General features: G+C 49.4%; 1 protein-coding gene and 1 long non-coding RNA gene across 2 annotated transcripts, besides 8 other annotated features; one reads left to right on the forward strand and one right to left on the reverse strand.

Annotated features, from left to right (window-relative positions):
* Positions 2,703-2,892: an enhancer, noted in NCBI's record as "active region_3848". NCBI's record gives its function as "activates an Ori minimal core promoter by ATAC-STARR-seq in GM12878 lymphoblastoid cells {active_cell/tissue: GM12878}" and the evidence as "EXISTENCE:reporter gene assay evidence [ECO:0000049][PMID:35858748]".
* On the reverse strand, positions 6,423-8,655 carry FRAT2 (FRAT regulator of Wnt signaling pathway 2). The gene has a single exon (NM_012083.3). It carries the CDS (start codon positions 8,496-8,498, stop codon positions 7,797-7,799), a length of 702 nt encoding a protein of 233 aa, NP_036215.1. The 5' UTR covers positions 8,499-8,655; the 3' UTR covers positions 6,423-7,796.
* Positions 7,366-8,273: an enhancer, noted in NCBI's record as "H3K27ac hESC enhancer chr10:99093197-99094104 (GRCh37/hg19 assembly coordinates)". NCBI's record gives its function as "activates a minimal SCP1, AML or CMV promoter by ChIP-STARR-seq in primed H9 embryonic stem cells {active_cell/tissue: H9 hESC(primed)}" and the evidence as "EXISTENCE:reporter gene assay evidence [ECO:0000049][PMID:30033119]".
* Positions 7,824-7,873: a silencer, noted in NCBI's record as "silent region_2672". NCBI's record gives its function as "represses an Ori minimal core promoter by ATAC-STARR-seq in GM12878 lymphoblastoid cells {active_cell/tissue: GM12878}" and the evidence as "EXISTENCE:reporter gene assay evidence [ECO:0000049][PMID:35858748]".
* Positions 7,884-8,013: a silencer, noted in NCBI's record as "silent region_2673". NCBI's record gives its function as "represses an Ori minimal core promoter by ATAC-STARR-seq in GM12878 lymphoblastoid cells {active_cell/tissue: GM12878}" and the evidence as "EXISTENCE:reporter gene assay evidence [ECO:0000049][PMID:35858748]".
* Positions 8,354-8,503: a silencer, noted in NCBI's record as "silent region_2674". NCBI's record gives its function as "represses an Ori minimal core promoter by ATAC-STARR-seq in GM12878 lymphoblastoid cells {active_cell/tissue: GM12878}" and the evidence as "EXISTENCE:reporter gene assay evidence [ECO:0000049][PMID:35858748]".
* Positions 8,594-8,743: a silencer, noted in NCBI's record as "silent region_2675". NCBI's record gives its function as "represses an Ori minimal core promoter by ATAC-STARR-seq in GM12878 lymphoblastoid cells {active_cell/tissue: GM12878}" and the evidence as "EXISTENCE:reporter gene assay evidence [ECO:0000049][PMID:35858748]".
* Positions 8,772-17,129, forward strand: LOC105378448 (uncharacterized). The gene is made up of 2 exons (NR_188201.1): positions 8,772-8,897; positions 16,733-17,129. It is a non-coding gene; the product is annotated as an uncharacterized LOC105378448 (long non-coding RNA).
* Positions 8,874-9,223: a silencer, noted in NCBI's record as "silent region_2676". NCBI's record gives its function as "represses an Ori minimal core promoter by ATAC-STARR-seq in GM12878 lymphoblastoid cells {active_cell/tissue: GM12878}" and the evidence as "EXISTENCE:reporter gene assay evidence [ECO:0000049][PMID:35858748]".
* Positions 10,811-11,329: an enhancer, noted in NCBI's record as "OCT4-NANOG hESC enhancer chr10:99096642-99097160 (GRCh37/hg19 assembly coordinates)". NCBI's record gives its function as "activates a minimal SCP1, AML or CMV promoter by ChIP-STARR-seq in naive H9 embryonic stem cells {active_cell/tissue: H9 hESC(naive)}" and the evidence as "EXISTENCE:reporter gene assay evidence [ECO:0000049][PMID:30033119]".
* Positions 17,130-17,886: the final 757 nt, after the last annotated feature.

Here is a 17,886-nt window from a genome sequence, read left to right on the forward strand (position 1 = left end):
TGCGCTCCATTTGAACACTGTGAAAGCTGGTGCAGGCAAAGGGGCAAAACTCTTCCGAGTAGTGTTTCCTCCTGGTTTTCCATCATAACTGAAGGGAGAGCAATTGACCTGCCCCTACCAGTGTTACCCAAAAGACATAATAGGTAAGAGTGGGGGGTCTGCAGGCAGCCCTCCACTGTCGGCTGTGTGATATGGGACAGGTTCAGTAAGCTCAATGAACTCATTTGCAAAATGTGGGTAAGGGTAGAGCACCTTGAAGACTTGTGTGAAAATTAAATTAGAACCAAAGAGCAAATGGTATGGGAACCAAAGAGCAAATAATAAACAAAACAGAACACTGTTCCTGAGAGACGTTGCATTAAGGCCACTTCTTTGAGTCTTCTGCAGAAAACCCTGCCTCTTACTGACTTCTTCAATATTTCTTAACAGGCACAAACCTGTTTCTTCTGAAGGTCAGACCAGTTTCCTGATCATGCACCCCAGTTGCATAGGTGGGTGTTAAGGGAAGTGTAGAAGAAGGGAATAAGGGCGGAGGCGGCCGGGTGCGGTGGCTCACACCTGTAATCTCAACAATTTGGTAAACCCAGGCAGGCGGATCATGTGAGGTCATGAGTTCGAAACCAGCCTGGCCAAAATGGTGAAACCTCGTCTCTACTAAAAATACAAAAATTAGCTGGGCGTGGTGGTGCATGCTACTTGGGAGGCTGAGGCAGGAGAATCGCTTGAACTCAGGAGGCGGAGGTTACAGTGAGCTGAGATCACGCCACTGCACTCCAGCATGGGCATCTAAAAAGAGAGAGAAAAAAAGGGTGGAGCCAAGCTAAGCCTGCAAAGCAGCTCAGGGTTGGAACTGGTGGAATAGAGGGAGCAGGAATATCACAAAGGATAGGGTTGGCAGTTGGCAGTGAACACAGCCTGGGGCCACAGCTCTTAACTCCCCCATTTCCTATCAGAAAACCTATCCTTTTCCAAAATTCAAATACTCAAGTTCTACTTGCTGTCCTGTCCAGTCCTGGCTATAATCTGCACTGAGAAAACCATACAATAGGCCGGGTGCGGTGGCTCACACCTGTAATCCCAACACTTTGGGAGGCTGAGACGGGTGGATCACCTGAGGTCAAGAGTTCGAGACTAGCCTGGCCAACATGGTGAAACCCTGTCTCTACTGAAAATACAAAAATTAGCCAGGCACGGTGGCATGCGCCTGTAGTCCCAGCTACTCGGAGGGCTGAGGTAGGAGAATCGCTTGAACCCATGAGGCAGAGGCTGCAGTGAGCTGAGATGGTGCCATTGCACTCCAGCCTGGGTGGCAGAGTGAGACTCCATCTCCAAAAAAAAAAAAAAAAAAAAAAAAGAGAAAACCATGCATGCAATTTCTTCACAGGAAGTGGCCTTTGAGTTCATTTCATTCTCACTCTCACATTTCATTTACTGTCATTATAGAGTTATCTCAGGGACTCATATGTGAATGAATGTGTTCTCTTCCCCAATAGATTATGTATTTTGTGATGGCAGAGGAGTGACAAGATGATGAGGATGTTTTAGGCAGATTGTCAGGCTGCATGGCATGGGGAGTGGTCTGGAGCTGAGGAAAACACTGATGGTCAGCCAGATCAGCCGAATGGTGTTAAAGCTCCCAGGCACCCAGGCGATTAAGGGAGAGGAAAACACAAGAGACACTTCCAAAAGAAAACCGGTAGGCCTCAGTTAACTGTACTGTGTAGCTGTAAAATCATGGCTCTGGAGCCAGACTGCCTGGCTCCTTCCTTGAAAGCTCCTTCCTGTGACCTTGGGCAGGTAACTTCACCTCTCTAACCTTACGTTCAGTTGCAAAGTCCCATGATAAAAAAAAAAAAGTCCCCCCCTCAGAGGGTTGTTGTGAGGATTAATTGAGCTAATGCTAGTAAAAATGCTTAGGCCACTGCCTGCCTGCAACATAGCTGCATTTAGCAACAGCACCAGGGTACTGGTATTTAGTAAATATTTGCAGAGCAAACAATGGGCAATTTCAACAGACTGGCAGAGGCTAAGGGAGTGGGGTGCTTAGGACGTAGATGATGTGTTGTGGTGCCTGCAAGTCTGAAGATGGGAAAAGAGTGACTACAGCTAAAAAGGGAAAATGGCCAAGGGAAGGATTCACTCAGCCAGGGGAGAACTGTGCTCATCTGGGTGTGGAGAGAGGATACAAAAGGGTGAAATTGCCAGGCACGGTGGCTCACGCCTGTAATCCCAGTACTTTGAGAGGCTAAGGCGGGTGGATCACTTGAGGTCAAGAGTTTGAGACCAACCTGGCCAACATGGTGAAACCGTCTCTACTAAAAATACAAAAATTAGCTGGGCGTGGTGGCACACGCCTGTAGTCCCAGTTACTCAGGAGGCTAAGGCATGAGAATCACTTGAACCCGGGAGGCTGAGGTTGCACGCCACTACACTCCAGCCTGGGTGACAGAGCGATATGCCGTCTCAAGAAAAAAAAAAAGGGGTGAAATCAAAGGGAAGATGCTATAAAGGTCTAAGTTCCTGGAGGAGTGGGACAGTATGGGGTCCTCAGACAGGGCAGGTTTGAAGGGCAGGGCTTAGGGGGACTCTGGTTGTGGATGCCCCACATGACAGCTCCCTGTGTCACTAACTGTCCTGCCACAGTGTGGCTGCAACCTGACAGATTGGTTGCTGAAACCATCCTTCATGCCTGGGATGGCTGGACATGTTTCTGTTGTTTTTGTGTGAATGAATTATCTGTAGCTGATGCTATAATGGAATGAAAATGAAAACTGATACCAAGGAGTTTAAGTGCTCCCTCTTATCAACTGTTAACTGACTCATAGCAAGTAAAATCACAACCCCCAACTGTTAGGCTGCCCAGGCAGTTTGTTTGACTTATTGATTTGGGTGGGTTAAAAAAAGCAAGAGCTGGTTATCATCCTGTTACCTTTGCCCTGCCTTTTGCCTGTTTCTGTAACTGCCTAAATTAGATTCCACAGCCTAAGATCGGTGAAAAATGGTTTCCTATAGGTTTTCCTGAAAATCTTTCCTAGACACTGAAGTCACAAACCCCTTTCTGCTGATGCAGCATAAATAGTACTTTTCTTCAGCTGGGCTAAGGAGGGGAGGAATCCAGTGCAGATGTTCAAAACACGCTACTTAAGGGTGCTGACAAAGGCAACTTGAGAATTAACTTCAGGATTCAAAGACAGTGAAAGTCATTGAATAAGATCTGATTCCATATGCCCCGGACCTCTGTGGCCTGACTACAGAGGATATACATAGGGATAATAGATACAGCTGTGTTTGTGTTATGTGCACATGTGGACCCACTACTGTTCACCCTACAGTCTCCCTTGGCTTCTCCTGGGTCTACTTTTATTTTCTGTCTGTTCCTTTTGTGTAGTCTTCTTCCTCCCAGAGATTTGATGAGTTGGGTATTTGTAAAGTGCTTAGAAGGCCGGGCACACACAGGCTGGGTGTGGTGGCTCACGCCTATAATCCCAGCACTTTGGAAGGCCGAGGCGGGTGGATCACTTGAGGTCAAAAGTTCGAGACCAGCCTGGACAACATGGCAAAACCCGTCTATACCAAAAAAATACAAAAAAAAAAATTAGCCAGATGTGGTGGTGCCCGCCTGTAGCTACAGCTCCTTGGGAGGCTGAGGCAGAAGAATCACTTGAACCTGGGAGGCAGAAGTTGTAGTGAGTCGAGATCACGCCACTGCACTCCAGCCTGGGCAACAGTGTGAGACTGTCTCAAAAAAAAAAAGAAAAAAGAAAGAAAAAGTGCTTAGAACACAGCCTGGCACATGGCACGCACTATTGCACATTAGCTAGTGTTATTACTGCCCATCTTCCAGGCCCCATTCTGCGCCCCACCCCATCCCACCCCCTTAGCCTTAACTGCCAAATCTTTATCTTAAGCCCTGAACCCTCTCCAACTCCTAGTCATTTACAAGGCACCAGGCTTCTGTCCTCGTAACTTCCCATGTGAAACTCCTAATTCTCCAAACACCACACACACACACATACCATTTCTCATTATTTCCCTATTGCTCTGGTCCTTCTAGGCTAGAGACTTGCAGAATGTTATCAGGGAAACATGGGCAATGGCCCCTTCAGAAGACGAAGCTGTCTCAACTCTGTGACCATCCACTACAAGGGGCTAGGGATATCCTAGCCAAAATCATTCCTGAGCTAAGAGTACTAGGAATGGGCTATCCCAAGCTGCAACACCTTGGAAATGCCCATTGCCTCGTAGACAGAGACACTTCCCCAGGCCCAGGCCCTCCACAGGCTTTGCAAATGGCTGGATCAGTAGCAAGAGTTGGGGTGAGAAGAGCGTACTGTGTGTAGGCTCAGACAGGTGACAAGGGTGTGTGAGAAGAGCATTGTGTGTAGGCTCAGACAGGGGGCAAGAGGACCAACTTAAGTGCCCTGAGTTCTGATTCTGCTCTACCACCAATAATTCCTTTCACCATTGTAAAAAGCAAAGTAGGGCCAGGCACGGTGGCTCACACCTGTAATCCCAGCACTTTGGGAGGCCAAGACAGGTGGATCACTTGAGGTTAGCAATTTGAGACCAGCCAGGGCAACACGGTGAAACCTCATCTCTGCTAAAAATACAAAAGTTAGCTGGGAGTGGTGGCGGGCACCTGTAATCCCAGCTACTTGGGAGGCTGAGGCAGGAGAATTGCTTGAACCCAGGAGGTGGAGGCTGCAGTGAGCCAAGATCATGCCACTGCACTCCAGCCTGGGGACAGAGCAAGACCACGTCTTAAAAAAAAAAAAATGCCAGGTGCCGTGGCTCATGCCTGTAATTCCAGCACTTTGGGAGGTCAAGGTAGGCGGATCACAAGGTCAGATCGAGACCATCCTGGCCAACATGGTAAAACCCCGTCTCTACTAAATATACAAAAATTAGCTGGGTGTGGTGGCATGCTCCTGTAGTCCCAGTTACTCGGGAGGCTGAGGCAGGAGAATCACTTGAACCCAGGAGAGGGAGGCTGCAGTGAGCTGAGATCACACCACTGCACTCTAGCCAGGCGACAGAGCGAGATTCCATCTCAAAAAAAAAAAAATCTTGTAAAAGGTGCCAACCAGGGTGCCTGCCCTAACAGGGATCAGCTCCATCTCTACCTAGGAAGTAGAGAAACACTCAGATCTTGTAGGTCTTTTCCCATTGTCTGTAGTCCTTATCTATAAGATGGAAAAATAGTGCCTACCTCGTGGCACATAAAGCCATGTGGTAGTACCAAGAATGAGCAGCTATCACTTTTTGAGCAATGAAGTCTCCCCTTCAAGTCCTCATTTAACCCTTCCAACTCCCCTATTAAGTACTATTGTTTTACAAATCACAAGGGAAAAACTCAGAGTCTTGACTTGCCCACCATGACACAGCTGGTGAGCAGAAAGGGCTGAGGCAACTGAGCATCAGCCTTCCTCTGCAGCCCCAGCCTCGGGAGTGTGCTGAGCAGGAGAGGTTCCCCGGGGGCTGGGTTAGTAGAGCTGGGCAAGGAAGGGGCAAGGCAGGGGCCAGGTGTGGTGGCTCACGCCTTTAATCCCAGCACCTTGGGAGGCCGAGGAGGGCAGATCACTTGAGCTCGAGTTCAAGACCAGCCTGGGCAACACAGTGAGAACCCATCTCTACTAAAAATATAAAAAATTAGCCTGGCATGGTGGTATGAGCCTGTAGTCCCAGCTACTCAGGAGGTTGAGGTGAGAGGACTGTTTGAGCCCAGGAGGTTGAGGCTGCAGTGAGCCAAGATCGTGCCACTGCACTCCAACCTGGGTTACAGAGTAAGACACCATCTCAAAATAATAAAATTAAATTAAAAAGAGAAAAGGGCAAGGCAGGAACTAGGAAGGGATTCAGCAAGGGCTCTATGCCTGGGAAGACAGGGCAGAGAGAGAATGAGGAGAGGAGGAGGGCTACTTCGGTCAAATCTAACCCCTGAGTGCTCAAACCAAGCCATTTTACAACTACCAAATACACTGCTGTAAAACCCTGTTTTTCTCTCCCAAGGCCATAGCTCAAGACTAGGTCAGTCTCAAAGGGGAAAGCAGGCTGGCTTCGCCTGTGCCCTCCCCATTTTGCACAAAAACGTCCAGATGAAAACCCACCTCCCTCCACCACAGCACCTCTTTGCTCTCCAGCCCAGAAAGCATTTCTAGAATACATTGTCTTTCCACAAAGGGAGTGGAAGCCCATCTTGCAGCTTCTAAAAACCTGGACTCAATTTTCTGATCTTGTGGAATAAAAACTTAGAAGCACTCAAGTCCTGTGGCTCTACTAGGATTCTGTGCCCATCAGCATTGGCCCAAACCATTTGTCCAGGTCCCCCCCCCCCGGTTTAGCCCAAGTGCCCTCTTTATTAAGGACATCCCCATATGCTTTTCTGCCCCTCTCCCACCTTCCACCAAAATGCCAAACCGTGCTCCAAAACAAAAGCCAAATTTATTCAGCAGACATTTTAATTATGAAATCCTATAAATCAGGACCACCACAATTTCAGACACTCCGTTGCGAAGTGTACATCAATAGCTACATCTGGAGGATGAACAAGCCATTGAATCTTTTAAAAATTGGTTTAGCTACCTTAAAGTTTGGGGGTGGCACCTTACAAAAGCGCCGTCAAGTTTCATACAGCCAGCGGCTTCTTCTCTGGGAGAGTCACATTTTAAAACCGGTTTCAGACACAAAAGAAGGGCTGGCACGGGAGGAGGAAATAAATTGTGAGGGTGAGGAGCCGCCGAGGCCGAGGCCCATGACTCCATGGAGGGCCAGAAGAGAGCAGAAAAACGTCCAGGGTCTCTCATGCATTCCTATAGACACCAGAAAGGGTGGAATAAGAAAGCTCAGCTGGGAGGACAAGAAAGAGACTCAAGAGATCGTTTATGACTGTTTCTGAGAAAGCTCCTGGCATGGCCATGAGTGGCCTTCCGGGAGTCCTGTAAAAAGGAAAGCACAGAAAACAGGAAAGAACTCTCCCTACACGTCCCTCTCTGCCTGTTTGTGTCCTCGGGAGACTCCAAGCGGTGGTAAAGCACCAACAGGGCTCTTCTTGGAGCAAGAGAAAGAAAAGACTCCGGGGTGAGTAAGCTCTCCCAGGAACCCCACAGCAAACCGTGACCTTGAACACAGATGGCAAGGTCAAGTCATTTACAAGTCCACATTCAAATCCAAATCTCCCACCTGCAAAATTCTTCACCTCTCTCCAGTCCCTTAATTGGAGTTCACATCTCCCACCTTCACCAGCCACCGAATCGGTGGGAAAAAGGGGCAATGCCAAGCCACCCACCACCAAACTTTTACATTCTTCTCCCCTCTGGAATTTCTTTGCACAGCAATTGTAGCACCACTTACTAAGCTCCTCCACCAGAAAATAAGAAAATGTATGCGTGTCGTTAGTTTTCAAGTATTGTTATAAAGCCATCGCGATTCCTACCCCTGAGCCCTCCTTAAACAATCCAAGCTCACGACGCCCCCAAGGGCTAAGTGAGGTACAAGTCGATGCAAGTAGCTGCCATAGTTCTCCCAGTTTATCCCAGGTCCTTGGGCTTGGATGGCCCGGGAAATTCTCATGCCCCACGGAAGCACCCTGGCGCATACATTTCTCCACGCTTAAGTTTTCTCCGACGGCCTCGCCGCGGCTGGTAACTTCTCTGGTTGAGATCTCTCCCCACGCGCCTCCCCGCAGCCAAAGTGGTCGCTCCCAGGCTGGCGACGTCGGCTTCAGCTCAGAGTTAGTAGGAACTGGACGCTGTTGGGTCTACGCAGCGGCCTCCACTTCCTCCTCCAGGAGGCCTGCGTCAGAGCAAGGAGCCTGAGGGCTGCAGGGCAATGCGGTCAGGTCCGCTGCGGCCTCCCCCGGGCCCAGGGGCGCTTGCGGGGCCCGTGGCTGCAACCGCGGCGACGGCTCGTTGGAGTCTCCGCACGGCTTCCTTGATGAGGTTTCCCGAGAGCACGAGCTGCTGGAGGAGCCGATGCGGGTCGTCGTCGCCGGCGCGTGCCCCGGCTTGGGTCCATCGGCGCTGCTGCAAGCGGCGGGAGGTGACCGCGTCCCTGAGCCATCCTCGCCGGCACGGCCCCGGCAGCGCGCTGGGGCCTGCGGCGACCTCCGCCACGCAGTAGGGCGCAGCGCGTCCGCGCACGCGGCCGCGGTCCCCTAGGGCGCAGCGCAGGGCCCCAGAGGGCGCCGGGCCCACCGTCTCAGCCGAAGCGGGCGGCAGCAGCAGCGGCACCGCCGGGGGCCGGGCCTTGTCCGCCGGCACCGCCGCAGCCAGGGGCCCCGGGGCCCGCAGCGGCACCCCCGGGGGCGCGCACGGCGAGGCCGGGCTGTCCTGCGCCGCGTCCAGCTGCAGCGTCTCGCCGATCTGGGCCACCAGCCGGTCCACCTCGCCCGAGCTGCCCAGCGTCACCGACTGCTGCAGCAGGAGGAAGCTGTCGTCCTCCTCTTCCTCCCCCTCCGCCTCCTCGCCGGCTTCCTCTTCCTCCTCCCTCCGGCACGGCATGGCCCCCCGTCCTGGCACCCGGAGCTGTGCGGGCTTCGCTGGGGGCTTGGTTGCCCGCGGGCGCGGAGCTGCGGGCGAAGCCGGAGCAGGGGCGGACGCGGAAGCCGGAGCCCGCCAGGCACTCGAGCCACGCGCCTGCAGCCGCTGGAGCCGGAATCCTGCCGGCTCGGGTTGATTTGTAAACAATGGGTGACGTCGCGCCGGGCCCTACCACCGCACCGGGGCGGGGGTGACGCGCGAGCAGGCACGGGGGCAAAGGGCGGCGCGGGCGGTGACCGAAGCCGTCCCGCGCCTGTGTTCGTTGTCCCTCCAGGAGGGGGTCCGGGGCGTGGGGACTGATTTCCGACCTCCCGGGCCCAACGAGCCGTGCTGAAACGTGGCGCCTCGGAGGAGGCTGAGGTTGGTTTCTCCCACGCACGGACACACCCACACCCACTCCGGGCCCGCCTCCTGGGCCGCGGCCTCCCTCCCCACGTGTCGGCCGCGCCTAAGCCCGCCCGACTCCCGCCCCGCGCACCCGCAGTTCCCGGCCCTGGTCGTGGGGGAGGGGCGGGCCGCCGCGGGTCCGGCTTCGACGAGGCGGGGCGGGGAAAGGCGGAGGGAATTGGGAGTGAAGAGGCGGCACGTTACTTATTTACTTATTTATTATTTAGAAAAGGTCTCTGTCGCCCAGGCTGAAGTATAGTGGCGCGAACACGGCTGACTGCAGCCTCGAACTCTGGCTTAAGTAATCATCCCACTTTAAGCCTCCGGAGCAGCTGGGACCACAGGCGCGGCCACCACGCCTGGCTAATTAAAAAAATTTTTTTTGTAGAGACGGTGGTGGGGGGGGGGGGTCTCACTATATTGCCCAGGCTGGTCTCGAACTCTTGGGCTCAAGGAGTCCTCGCTCCTCGGCCTCCGAAAGTGTTGGGGTTACTGGCGTCAGCCGCCGCGCCCGGCCTAAGAGGGGACGCTTTGAAGCAGAGCAGAATCGCTCTGAGGTGAGGTCCCAGAGGCTTTCCCTCCCGCAGTCTTCAAGCCCCCGGACATATCATGAGAATAGGACTCACCGCCGCTCGGCTAAAGAAGGGTCTTTTTTTTTTTTTAAGGTTCAAATAGAAATATAGGGGATTGGCCAGGAGCGGTGGGTGGCTCATGCCTGTGATCCCAACACTTTGGGAGGCCGAGGCGGGCGGATCACCTGAGGTCAGGAGTTCCAGACCAGTCTGGCCAACATGGTGAAACCCCATCTCTGCTAAAAATACAAAAATTAGCCGGGCGTGGTGGCGGGCGCCTGTAATCCCAGCTACTCGGGAGACTGAGGCAGGAGAATGGTTTGAACCCTGGAGGCGGAGGTTGCAGTGAGCCGAGATCACGCCACTGCACTCCAGCCTGGGCAACAAAGCGAGACTCCGTCTCAAAAAAAAAAAGAAAAATATAAGGGATGGAAAAAATCTCTCATGGTTCACATTTAAATTTTTTTCCTTTTTAGCCTTTGTTCTATGAAAGTGTAGTATACAAACACATGCATACAGTGTTACACACTTTTCCACTTTGCCTTACATCATAAACGTTTTTCGTGTTATTGCATGCACTTTGAAAACATTTTAATGATTACATAAGTTTCCATCAAGTGCCTATGTTTTTAACATTTGCCTAATTTCACCATCGTTAAGTGTGTAACTAACATTTTTGTGCGCGACACTTTAAGATATTGATGATTCTTTCCTTAGGGCATATTCCCAGGAGTGGAATTTTAAGTCACAGTAGTTGGGTATTTTAAGGTTTACTGATAAATGTTCAGGAAGTGTCTTTCCAAGAGTTAGGTAAATGTACTCTACCATCATTAATGCTTGAGCATACATCATTACACCTTCACTAGTATTTGAGTATTATTGAATTTTTTTTTTTTTGCGGATTATATAGGGAAATTTTCTCCCTTCAGTTTGCATATCTTTGATTTCAGTTAGGTAGAGCAGTTTTCTAAATGTTTGTTAACAAACTGTACTTCCTTTCTTATGAATTGTCTATTTCCTAATAAGATTTTCCTAGGGAGTGTTTCTTACGTATTTGCATGACTCCTTTACATACCAAATGTTAACCCTTTTCATATTTTGCCGCAAATACGTCTCCAGGCTTTTGTTGGCTCTGTACAGTCATTTTTTCCCCCACTAAAACCAAATTTTCATGTAGGCAAATTTTAAAATCTCTTTGAAATTTCTAACACGATGCTAAATTTGGAGTCTCCTTGCTGCCAGAAAGTTATTAAATATTCCATTCTATTTTCTTTAGATTTTTCAAATGCCTTGATTTTTTTTTCAAATCCATCTGGGATTAATGTTGGTCTTTGTTTCAAGGAGATGACATGAAATTAATTTTTTCCTGGAGAGCTTGCCAGCCAAAGGTGTGTTTCTTCACTAGGACAGAGGTGTGAGGGTAGCATAAACACAAGCTGTCTGGTGAGTTTCCAGTTGCTGGTTAAGCTGGTGGTTGTGAGGAGTGGGTGGGGCTGGGAATGTTTTGATCAGTCTGTTGTGTGAAGTCAAAAGAACCCAGAACAGGTTGTACAAAGACCTAGATCCAAGTCTCATTCCTGCCACATCCTGGGTGTGGGACTCCAGGCAAATCAGTTTACAAGTGTTTTCACTTGTAAATAGGAGAAATAATCCCTGCCTGGCCTCCCTCTGAGGATTGTTTTCAGGATCAAATAAGATAATGGGAACGGGTGTTGTCAGGCATTACACAAATGTAGGATTAGGTCCAGCGGTTTACTAACAGAGGTCTGGCTCAATTCCAGCGAGTCCCCCCTGGGGAGCATTTAACATAATAATGTTGAAGATCCCCCCCATGCAGCCCACTAGGTGAAACGTACCCTGAGGGTATTACTTCTGTGCACTTGCCAGGTTTCTTAAATTCTGCCTCAGGTCTACCCTGACCTGGGATTGTGTAGGGCTTTACTGAAGTCAGCCCGGAGGCTCCCATGCCCCACAGTGAGTCTCCGCAACTAGTTCTGCAGGTTTGAGTGATGGAGACTTTCCCAGTGGGCAGCCTCCCACCTCCATCTCCCGAGGGCTGTTCACACACTTTACTGATGAGGACTGGAAGCCATTCCCCCCGGAGAGACTGATTCTCATTTTCATTCCGATGGTACTTACTGGAGAATTTCGAGAGGAATGAAAATTAGGGGAGGGCTTACGGATTTCAGTAGAGTTAAAATGGTAATGTTTTCCTCCTTTCTGTATGATGATGCCTGGCTGTAAGTAGAGAAAAGCAGTTTTATGCTCCATTGATTTTAAACATTAATGGGTCTGGTTTAACTATTGTCTCTCACCCAGCATCCCTGGAAGTTGTTTTTGTTTTCCTGTCAGGGTAATTCCAATAGTGTTCTTCGTACTATAGGAAATGGAGCTTTGAGATGGCATTCTTTAAAAAAAAAAAATCTTCCCTTTGTAATGTTGCTTTTGTGTGAAGATTGCTATGTAAATATGCTGGGACTTGGATATTATACTATTCATTACAGAGATGAATTCATTACAGAAGACCAGCTCCATTTTCTGGGGGCACCTCTCTGGAGAGCTCTGAGAGAGAGAAGTGCTGTGCTGGACCAGTGGGAGGCAGAGAAATGCCCTGGATTAGGAAGCAAAATACAAGATGCTAGAAAGACTCAGATGCAATTAAAAGTAATGAGACGGTATCAAAAAGGGAAGCGATGAGAACTTGTGAGCCCAGCACACTGGCTCCCTGCCTGGAAAGACACACTCTCGGACAGCATTCACAATCGCCCAGGGAAGAACAGAATTCAAGGGTTTTCTGCATTCACTTAGATTGCGTTGAAATTCTCTGCAAGGAGTTTGCTTTCCACACAGACCTTGTTTCAAGTTACCTGCCCTCAGAGACATTAGCTACAGTACAGTGGGATGAACACTAGGCTTGGGAATACCACCTGGATGGGGTCACTTTATCCTTCCGTGCCTCTGATTCCTCATCTGTAAAATGGGGGACGGTCCCTTCTTTATGAAATGGTTATATTACATGAGAATAATATGTATGGGAAGACTCATCATGTGGACCCTGAGGGTGGTGTTGGCATAGGTTCTAGGGAGCAGAAATACTCTTAGGGATGTTCGAGTTTTGTTTTTTGAGATGGAGTTTTGCTCTTGTTGCCCAGGTTGGAGTGCAATGGCGTGATCTCAGCTCACTGCAAACTCTGCCTCCCAGGTTCAAGCGATTCTCCTGCCTCAGCCTCTTGAGTAGCTGGGATTACAGGCAAGCGCCACCATGCCTGGCTAATTTTGTATTTTTAGTAGAGACGGGATTTCTCCACATTGCTCAGGCTGGTCTCGAACTCCCGACTGTCAGGCCTCTGAGCCCAGGCCAGGCCATCGCATCCCCTGTGACTTGCACGTATACATCCAGATGGCCTAAAGTAACTGAAGATCCACAAAAGAAGTAAAAACAGCCTTAACTGATGACATTCCACCATTGTGATTTGTTCCTGCCCCACCCTAACTGATCAATGGATCAATGTACTTTGTAATCTCCCCCACCCTTAAGAAGGTTCTTTGTAATTCTCCCCACCCTTGAGAATGTACTTTGTGAGATCCACCCCTGCCCACCAGAGAACGACCCCCTTTGGCTGTAATTTTCCATTACCTTCCCAAATCCTATAAAACAGCCCCACCCTTATCTCCCTACGCTGACTCTCTTTTCGGACTCAGCCCGCCTGCACCCAGGTGAAATAAACAGCCATGTTGCTCACACAAAGCCTGTTTGGTGGTCTCTTCACACGGACGCACATGAAACCAACCTCAGGTGATCTGCCCACCTTGGCCTCCCAAAGTGCTGGGATTACAGGTGTGAGCCACCGTGCCAGCCTGATGTTCAAGTTTTTTGGTTTTTGTTTGTTTGTTTTTTGTTTTTTTGAGATGGAGTTTCGTTCTTGCTGCCCAGGCTGGAGTGCAAGGCGGCAATCTCTACCGTGCCTGGCCAATACAACAAAATTTTATTCAGCCATGAAAAGGAATGAACTATTGATACATGCTATAACATTTTGCTCAAAAACATGCTGAGTGAAGCCAGACCTAATATAGGGCGGGCGCGGTGGCTCATGCCTGTAATCCCAGCACTTTGGGAGGCTGAGGTGGGCGGATCATGAAGTCAAGAGATCCAGACCATCTTGGTCAACATGGTGAAACCCCATCTCTACTAAAAAAAATACAAAAATTAGCTGGGCATGGTGGCACATGCCTGTAGTCCCGGCTGCTCGGGAGGCTGAGGCAGGAGAATCCCTTGAACCCAGGAGGCAGAGGTTGCAGTGAGCCGGGATCGTGCCATTGCACTCCAGCCTGGGCAACAGAGCGAGACTCCATCTTAAAAAAAAGAAAAAAAACAAAAAACAAAAAACCCATCTCTACTAAAAATACAAAAAATTAGCCGGCCGTGGTGGCAAGCACCTGTAATCCCAGCTACTTGGGAGGCTGAGGCAGGAGAATGGCTTGAACCCGGGAGGCAGAGGTTGCAGTGAGCTGAGATCACGCCATTGCACTCCAGCCCAGGCAACAGTGCAAGACTCTGTCTCAAAAAAAAAAAAAAAAAAGCTCATATATTGTATGGTACCAATTACATGAAATATCGACAACAGGTAAATCTATAGAGTTAGAAGCAGATTGATAGTTGATTAGAGCTGCGGGGGTGATTGAGGTAGGGGGTGACTGCTAACAGGCAAGGGGTATTCCTTTAGGGTAATGGAAAAATTTTGGAACCTGTTAGAAGTGGTGGTTGCACAGCATTGCAGGTGTACTGAATGCCACTGAAATGGCCACCCTTTGAAATCTCTATTTTTTTTTTTTTCTGAGTCTTGCTCTGTTGCCTAGGACAGAGTGGAGTGGCATGATCTTGGCTCACTGCAACCTCCACCTCCTGGGTTCAAATGACTCTCCTGCCTCAGCCTCCAAAGTAGCTGGAACTACAGGCCTTGCCACCACGCCCAGCCTTGAAATCGCTAATTTTAAGCAGGGCACTGGGCTGCAAGCTTGTAGTCTCAGCTACTTAGGAGGCTGAGGAAGAAGCATGGCTTCAGCCCAGGAGTTCAAGACCAGCTTGAGCACAAAGAGAGACCACTTCCCCGCCCCACAGACTCTGAAAAAATAAATACATAAATAAAATAATAAAATGGCAAATTTTATGTTATGTGAATTTTGCCTCAATAAAAATAATTATATACTTTATGCAGTATTTGATCCACTTCTTTCTTCCTTTGTAGTTGGAACTGCAATCTAATCTATTTGCTGATGTAAAACAATCACATCTGGCCAAGCATGGTGGCTCATGCCTGTAATCCCAGAGCTTTGGGAGGCTAAGGTGGGAGGATCCCTTGAGCCCAGGAGTTCAAGACCAGCCTGGACAACATGGCAAAACCCCATCTCTACCAAAACAAAACAAAAAAACAATCAGCCAGGCATGGTGGGGTGTGCTTGTGGTCCCAGCTACTCGGGAGGCTGAGGCAGGAGAATTGCTTGAGCCCTAGAGGTTGAGGATCTATTGAGCTGTGATCATATCACTGTACTCAAGCCTGGGTGACAGAGTGAGAGACCCTGTCTCAAAAAAGAGAAAGAACAAACCTTCTTCATATTAGTGTGGGAGATAGCAACTCCACAATACCACTAGCACCACACAACCTGGAATAGCTATATAGATTGTTTTGAGAATTTTATTATTGCAATTTTTTTTTTAAGACAGGATCTCACTCTCTCCCCATCTGGCGTCCAGTGGCATGATCTTGGCTCACTGCAACCTCCGCTTCCCGAGCTCAAGTGATCCTCCCACCTCAGCTTCCTGAGAAGCTGGGACTACAGGTGCACACCACCACACCCAGCTAATTTGTAGATTTTCTATAGAGATGGGGTTTTGCCATGTTGTCCAGGCTGGTCTTGAACTTCCAGGCTCAAGCAATCCACCCATCTCAGCTCCCCAAAGTGCTAAGATTACAGGCATGAAGCACCACACCCAGCCTATTTATTTATTTTAGAGACAGGATCTCACTCTGCTGCCCAGGCTGAAGTGCAGTGGTGTAATCACGACTCACAGTGGCCTCAACCTCCTGGGCTCAAGCAATCCTTCCACCTCAGCCTCCCAAGTAGCTAGGACTACAAATGTGTGCCACCGTGCCTGGCTAATATTTTTTATTTTTTGTAGAAATGAAGTCTCACTGTGTTGACCAGGCTGGTCTCCAACTCCTAGGCTCCAGCCATACTCCCTTCTCAGCCTCCCAAAGTGCAATTCTCCTTCCTCAGCCACCGAAAGCCCTGGGATTAAAGGTGTGAGCCACTGCACCCGGCTCACACACATTTTGAGAATTTGAAAACAACTCTATTGTGTTAAATGCTGAAATTCTGAGGTCTGTTACAGCATCTAGCATAACCCTAATGCACAGGGATAAAGGTTATCAGGGAAAAGAGAGGTGGAGAGAGCGCAGCACATTTAAGTACCATGAAAAAGTTCATGAGTGCGGGTGGGCAAAGAGACCTGATTTGCATTTGAAGAGGAGCTCTACCCACAGAAGTGCCAGGCTTAGGGGACTGACAGAGGAGGCAGATCCCAAAGATGTGAACAGAGAAGGCAAACGCCAGTTTAGGACTGATGGAAAAATCGCAGGCTCTGATCAGACACAGCCCAATGCCTTCCTTCTTCTGCCACAGCCCAGTTGAGTTACTATTGGCCTCCATTCCAGACAGCTGCCACATTGTTTTCCAGCTCTCACAGGCCCCCTATTTCACAGAATCCCAGTGAGTGTCTCCTACACAGGGTGGCTTGCTTCATTGAGGCAATTCTGGGTGTCCCTCCCTGGGTAGTTTGGTTTCTTGGGGAAAAGAAAGGGCAGATGACTCCACCCATCTGCAGACCCCAACATGCAAGTACACTTTTTTTTTTTTTTTGGAGATGGAGTCATGCTCTGTCACCCAGGCTAGAGTGAAGTGGCATGATCTCAGCTCATTGCAACCCTGCCTCCCGGGCTCAAGCGATTCTCCTGCCTCAGCCTCCCAAGTAGATGTGATTACAGGCAGGCACCACAACTCCCAGATAATTTTTGTATTTTTAGTAGAGACAGGATTTCACCATGTTGGCCAGGCTGGCCTCCAACTCCTGACCTCAAGTGATCCACCGGCCTCGGCCTCCCAAAGTGCTGGGATTACAGGCATGAGTCACTGCACCCAGCCGCAAGTACACCTGATGCCTTCTCTTTACCATTTCAGATTCCTGCAGGTAGACACCAAGGATCTCCTCAGAGCCAGCGCTGATCTCATCCACAGAGGGATCACATGACCTCATCTGGGAAAATATAAACCCTACCCACCTGCCTGCCCATTTGGAAATGCAGACTGGAGGACGCTAAGTTCATTCTTACCTATGTACTAACAAGTACACAAGAAGATGCTCAATATCATTAGTCCTTGGGGAAATGCAAATTAGATTATAATGAGATTCCAGTGTACACCCACTAGAAGGCTATTAAAAAGGACAATACCAACTGTTGGCAACAATGTGGAGAAATGGAACCCCTCCTACGTTTCTGATGAGAATGTAAAATGGTGCAGATACTTTGGAAAACAGTTTGGCAATTTATTAAAAGATTAAATAAGCATAAACTTACTATATGACCCAGTAATTCCACTCTTAGGACTCTGCTCAAGGGAAATGAAAATATACATCCACACAAAGACTTACACGAGAATGTTCATAGCAGCATTAGATATAGTTCAAAACTGGGAAACAATCCAGAGGTCCAACTAGCAAATGGATTTAAAAATGTGGGGCTGGGGCTGGGCGCGATGGCTCACACCTGTAATCCCAGCACTTTGGGAGGCTGAGGCAAGTGGATCATGAGGTGAGGAGATCGAGACCATCCTGGCCAACATGGTGTAACCCCGTCTCTACTAAAAATACAAAAATTAGCTGGGCGTTGTGGCGTGTGCCTGTAATCCCAGCTACTCAGGAGGCTGAGGCAGGAGAATCGCTTGAACCAGGGAGTCGGAGGTTGTGGTGAGCCGAGATCACACCACTGCACTCCAGCCTGGTGACAGTGAGACTCTGTCTCAAAAAAAAAAAAAAAAAGTAAAGTAAAGAAAGGAAAAGAAAGAAAATGTGGGGCTAGGTGCAGTGGCTCATGCCTGTAATCCCAGCATTTTGGGAGGCTGAGGTGAGTGGATCTCCTGAGATCAGGAGTTCGAGACCAGCCTGGCCAACATGGCGAAACCCCATCTCCACTAAAAAAAAAAAAAAATTGCCGCATGTGGTGGCATGTGCCTGTAATCCCAGCTACTCAGGAAGCTGAGGCAGGAGGATAGCTTGAGGAGGTGGAGGTTGCAGTGAGCCGAGATTGTGACATTGCACCCCAGCCTGGGTGACA

Source organism: Homo sapiens, chromosome 10 (genome assembly GCF_000001405.40).
Source record: "Homo sapiens chromosome 10, GRCh38.p14 Primary Assembly".
Classification (NCBI taxonomy): Eukaryota; Metazoa; Chordata; class Mammalia; order Primates; family Hominidae; genus Homo; species Homo sapiens.

Excerpts from the sequence above, each read along its gene's own strand:
- FRAT2 (NM_012083.3), bottom strand. The coding sequence starts at position 8,498 with ATGCCGTGCCGGAGGGAGGAGGAAGAGGAAGCCGGCGAGGAGGCGGAG.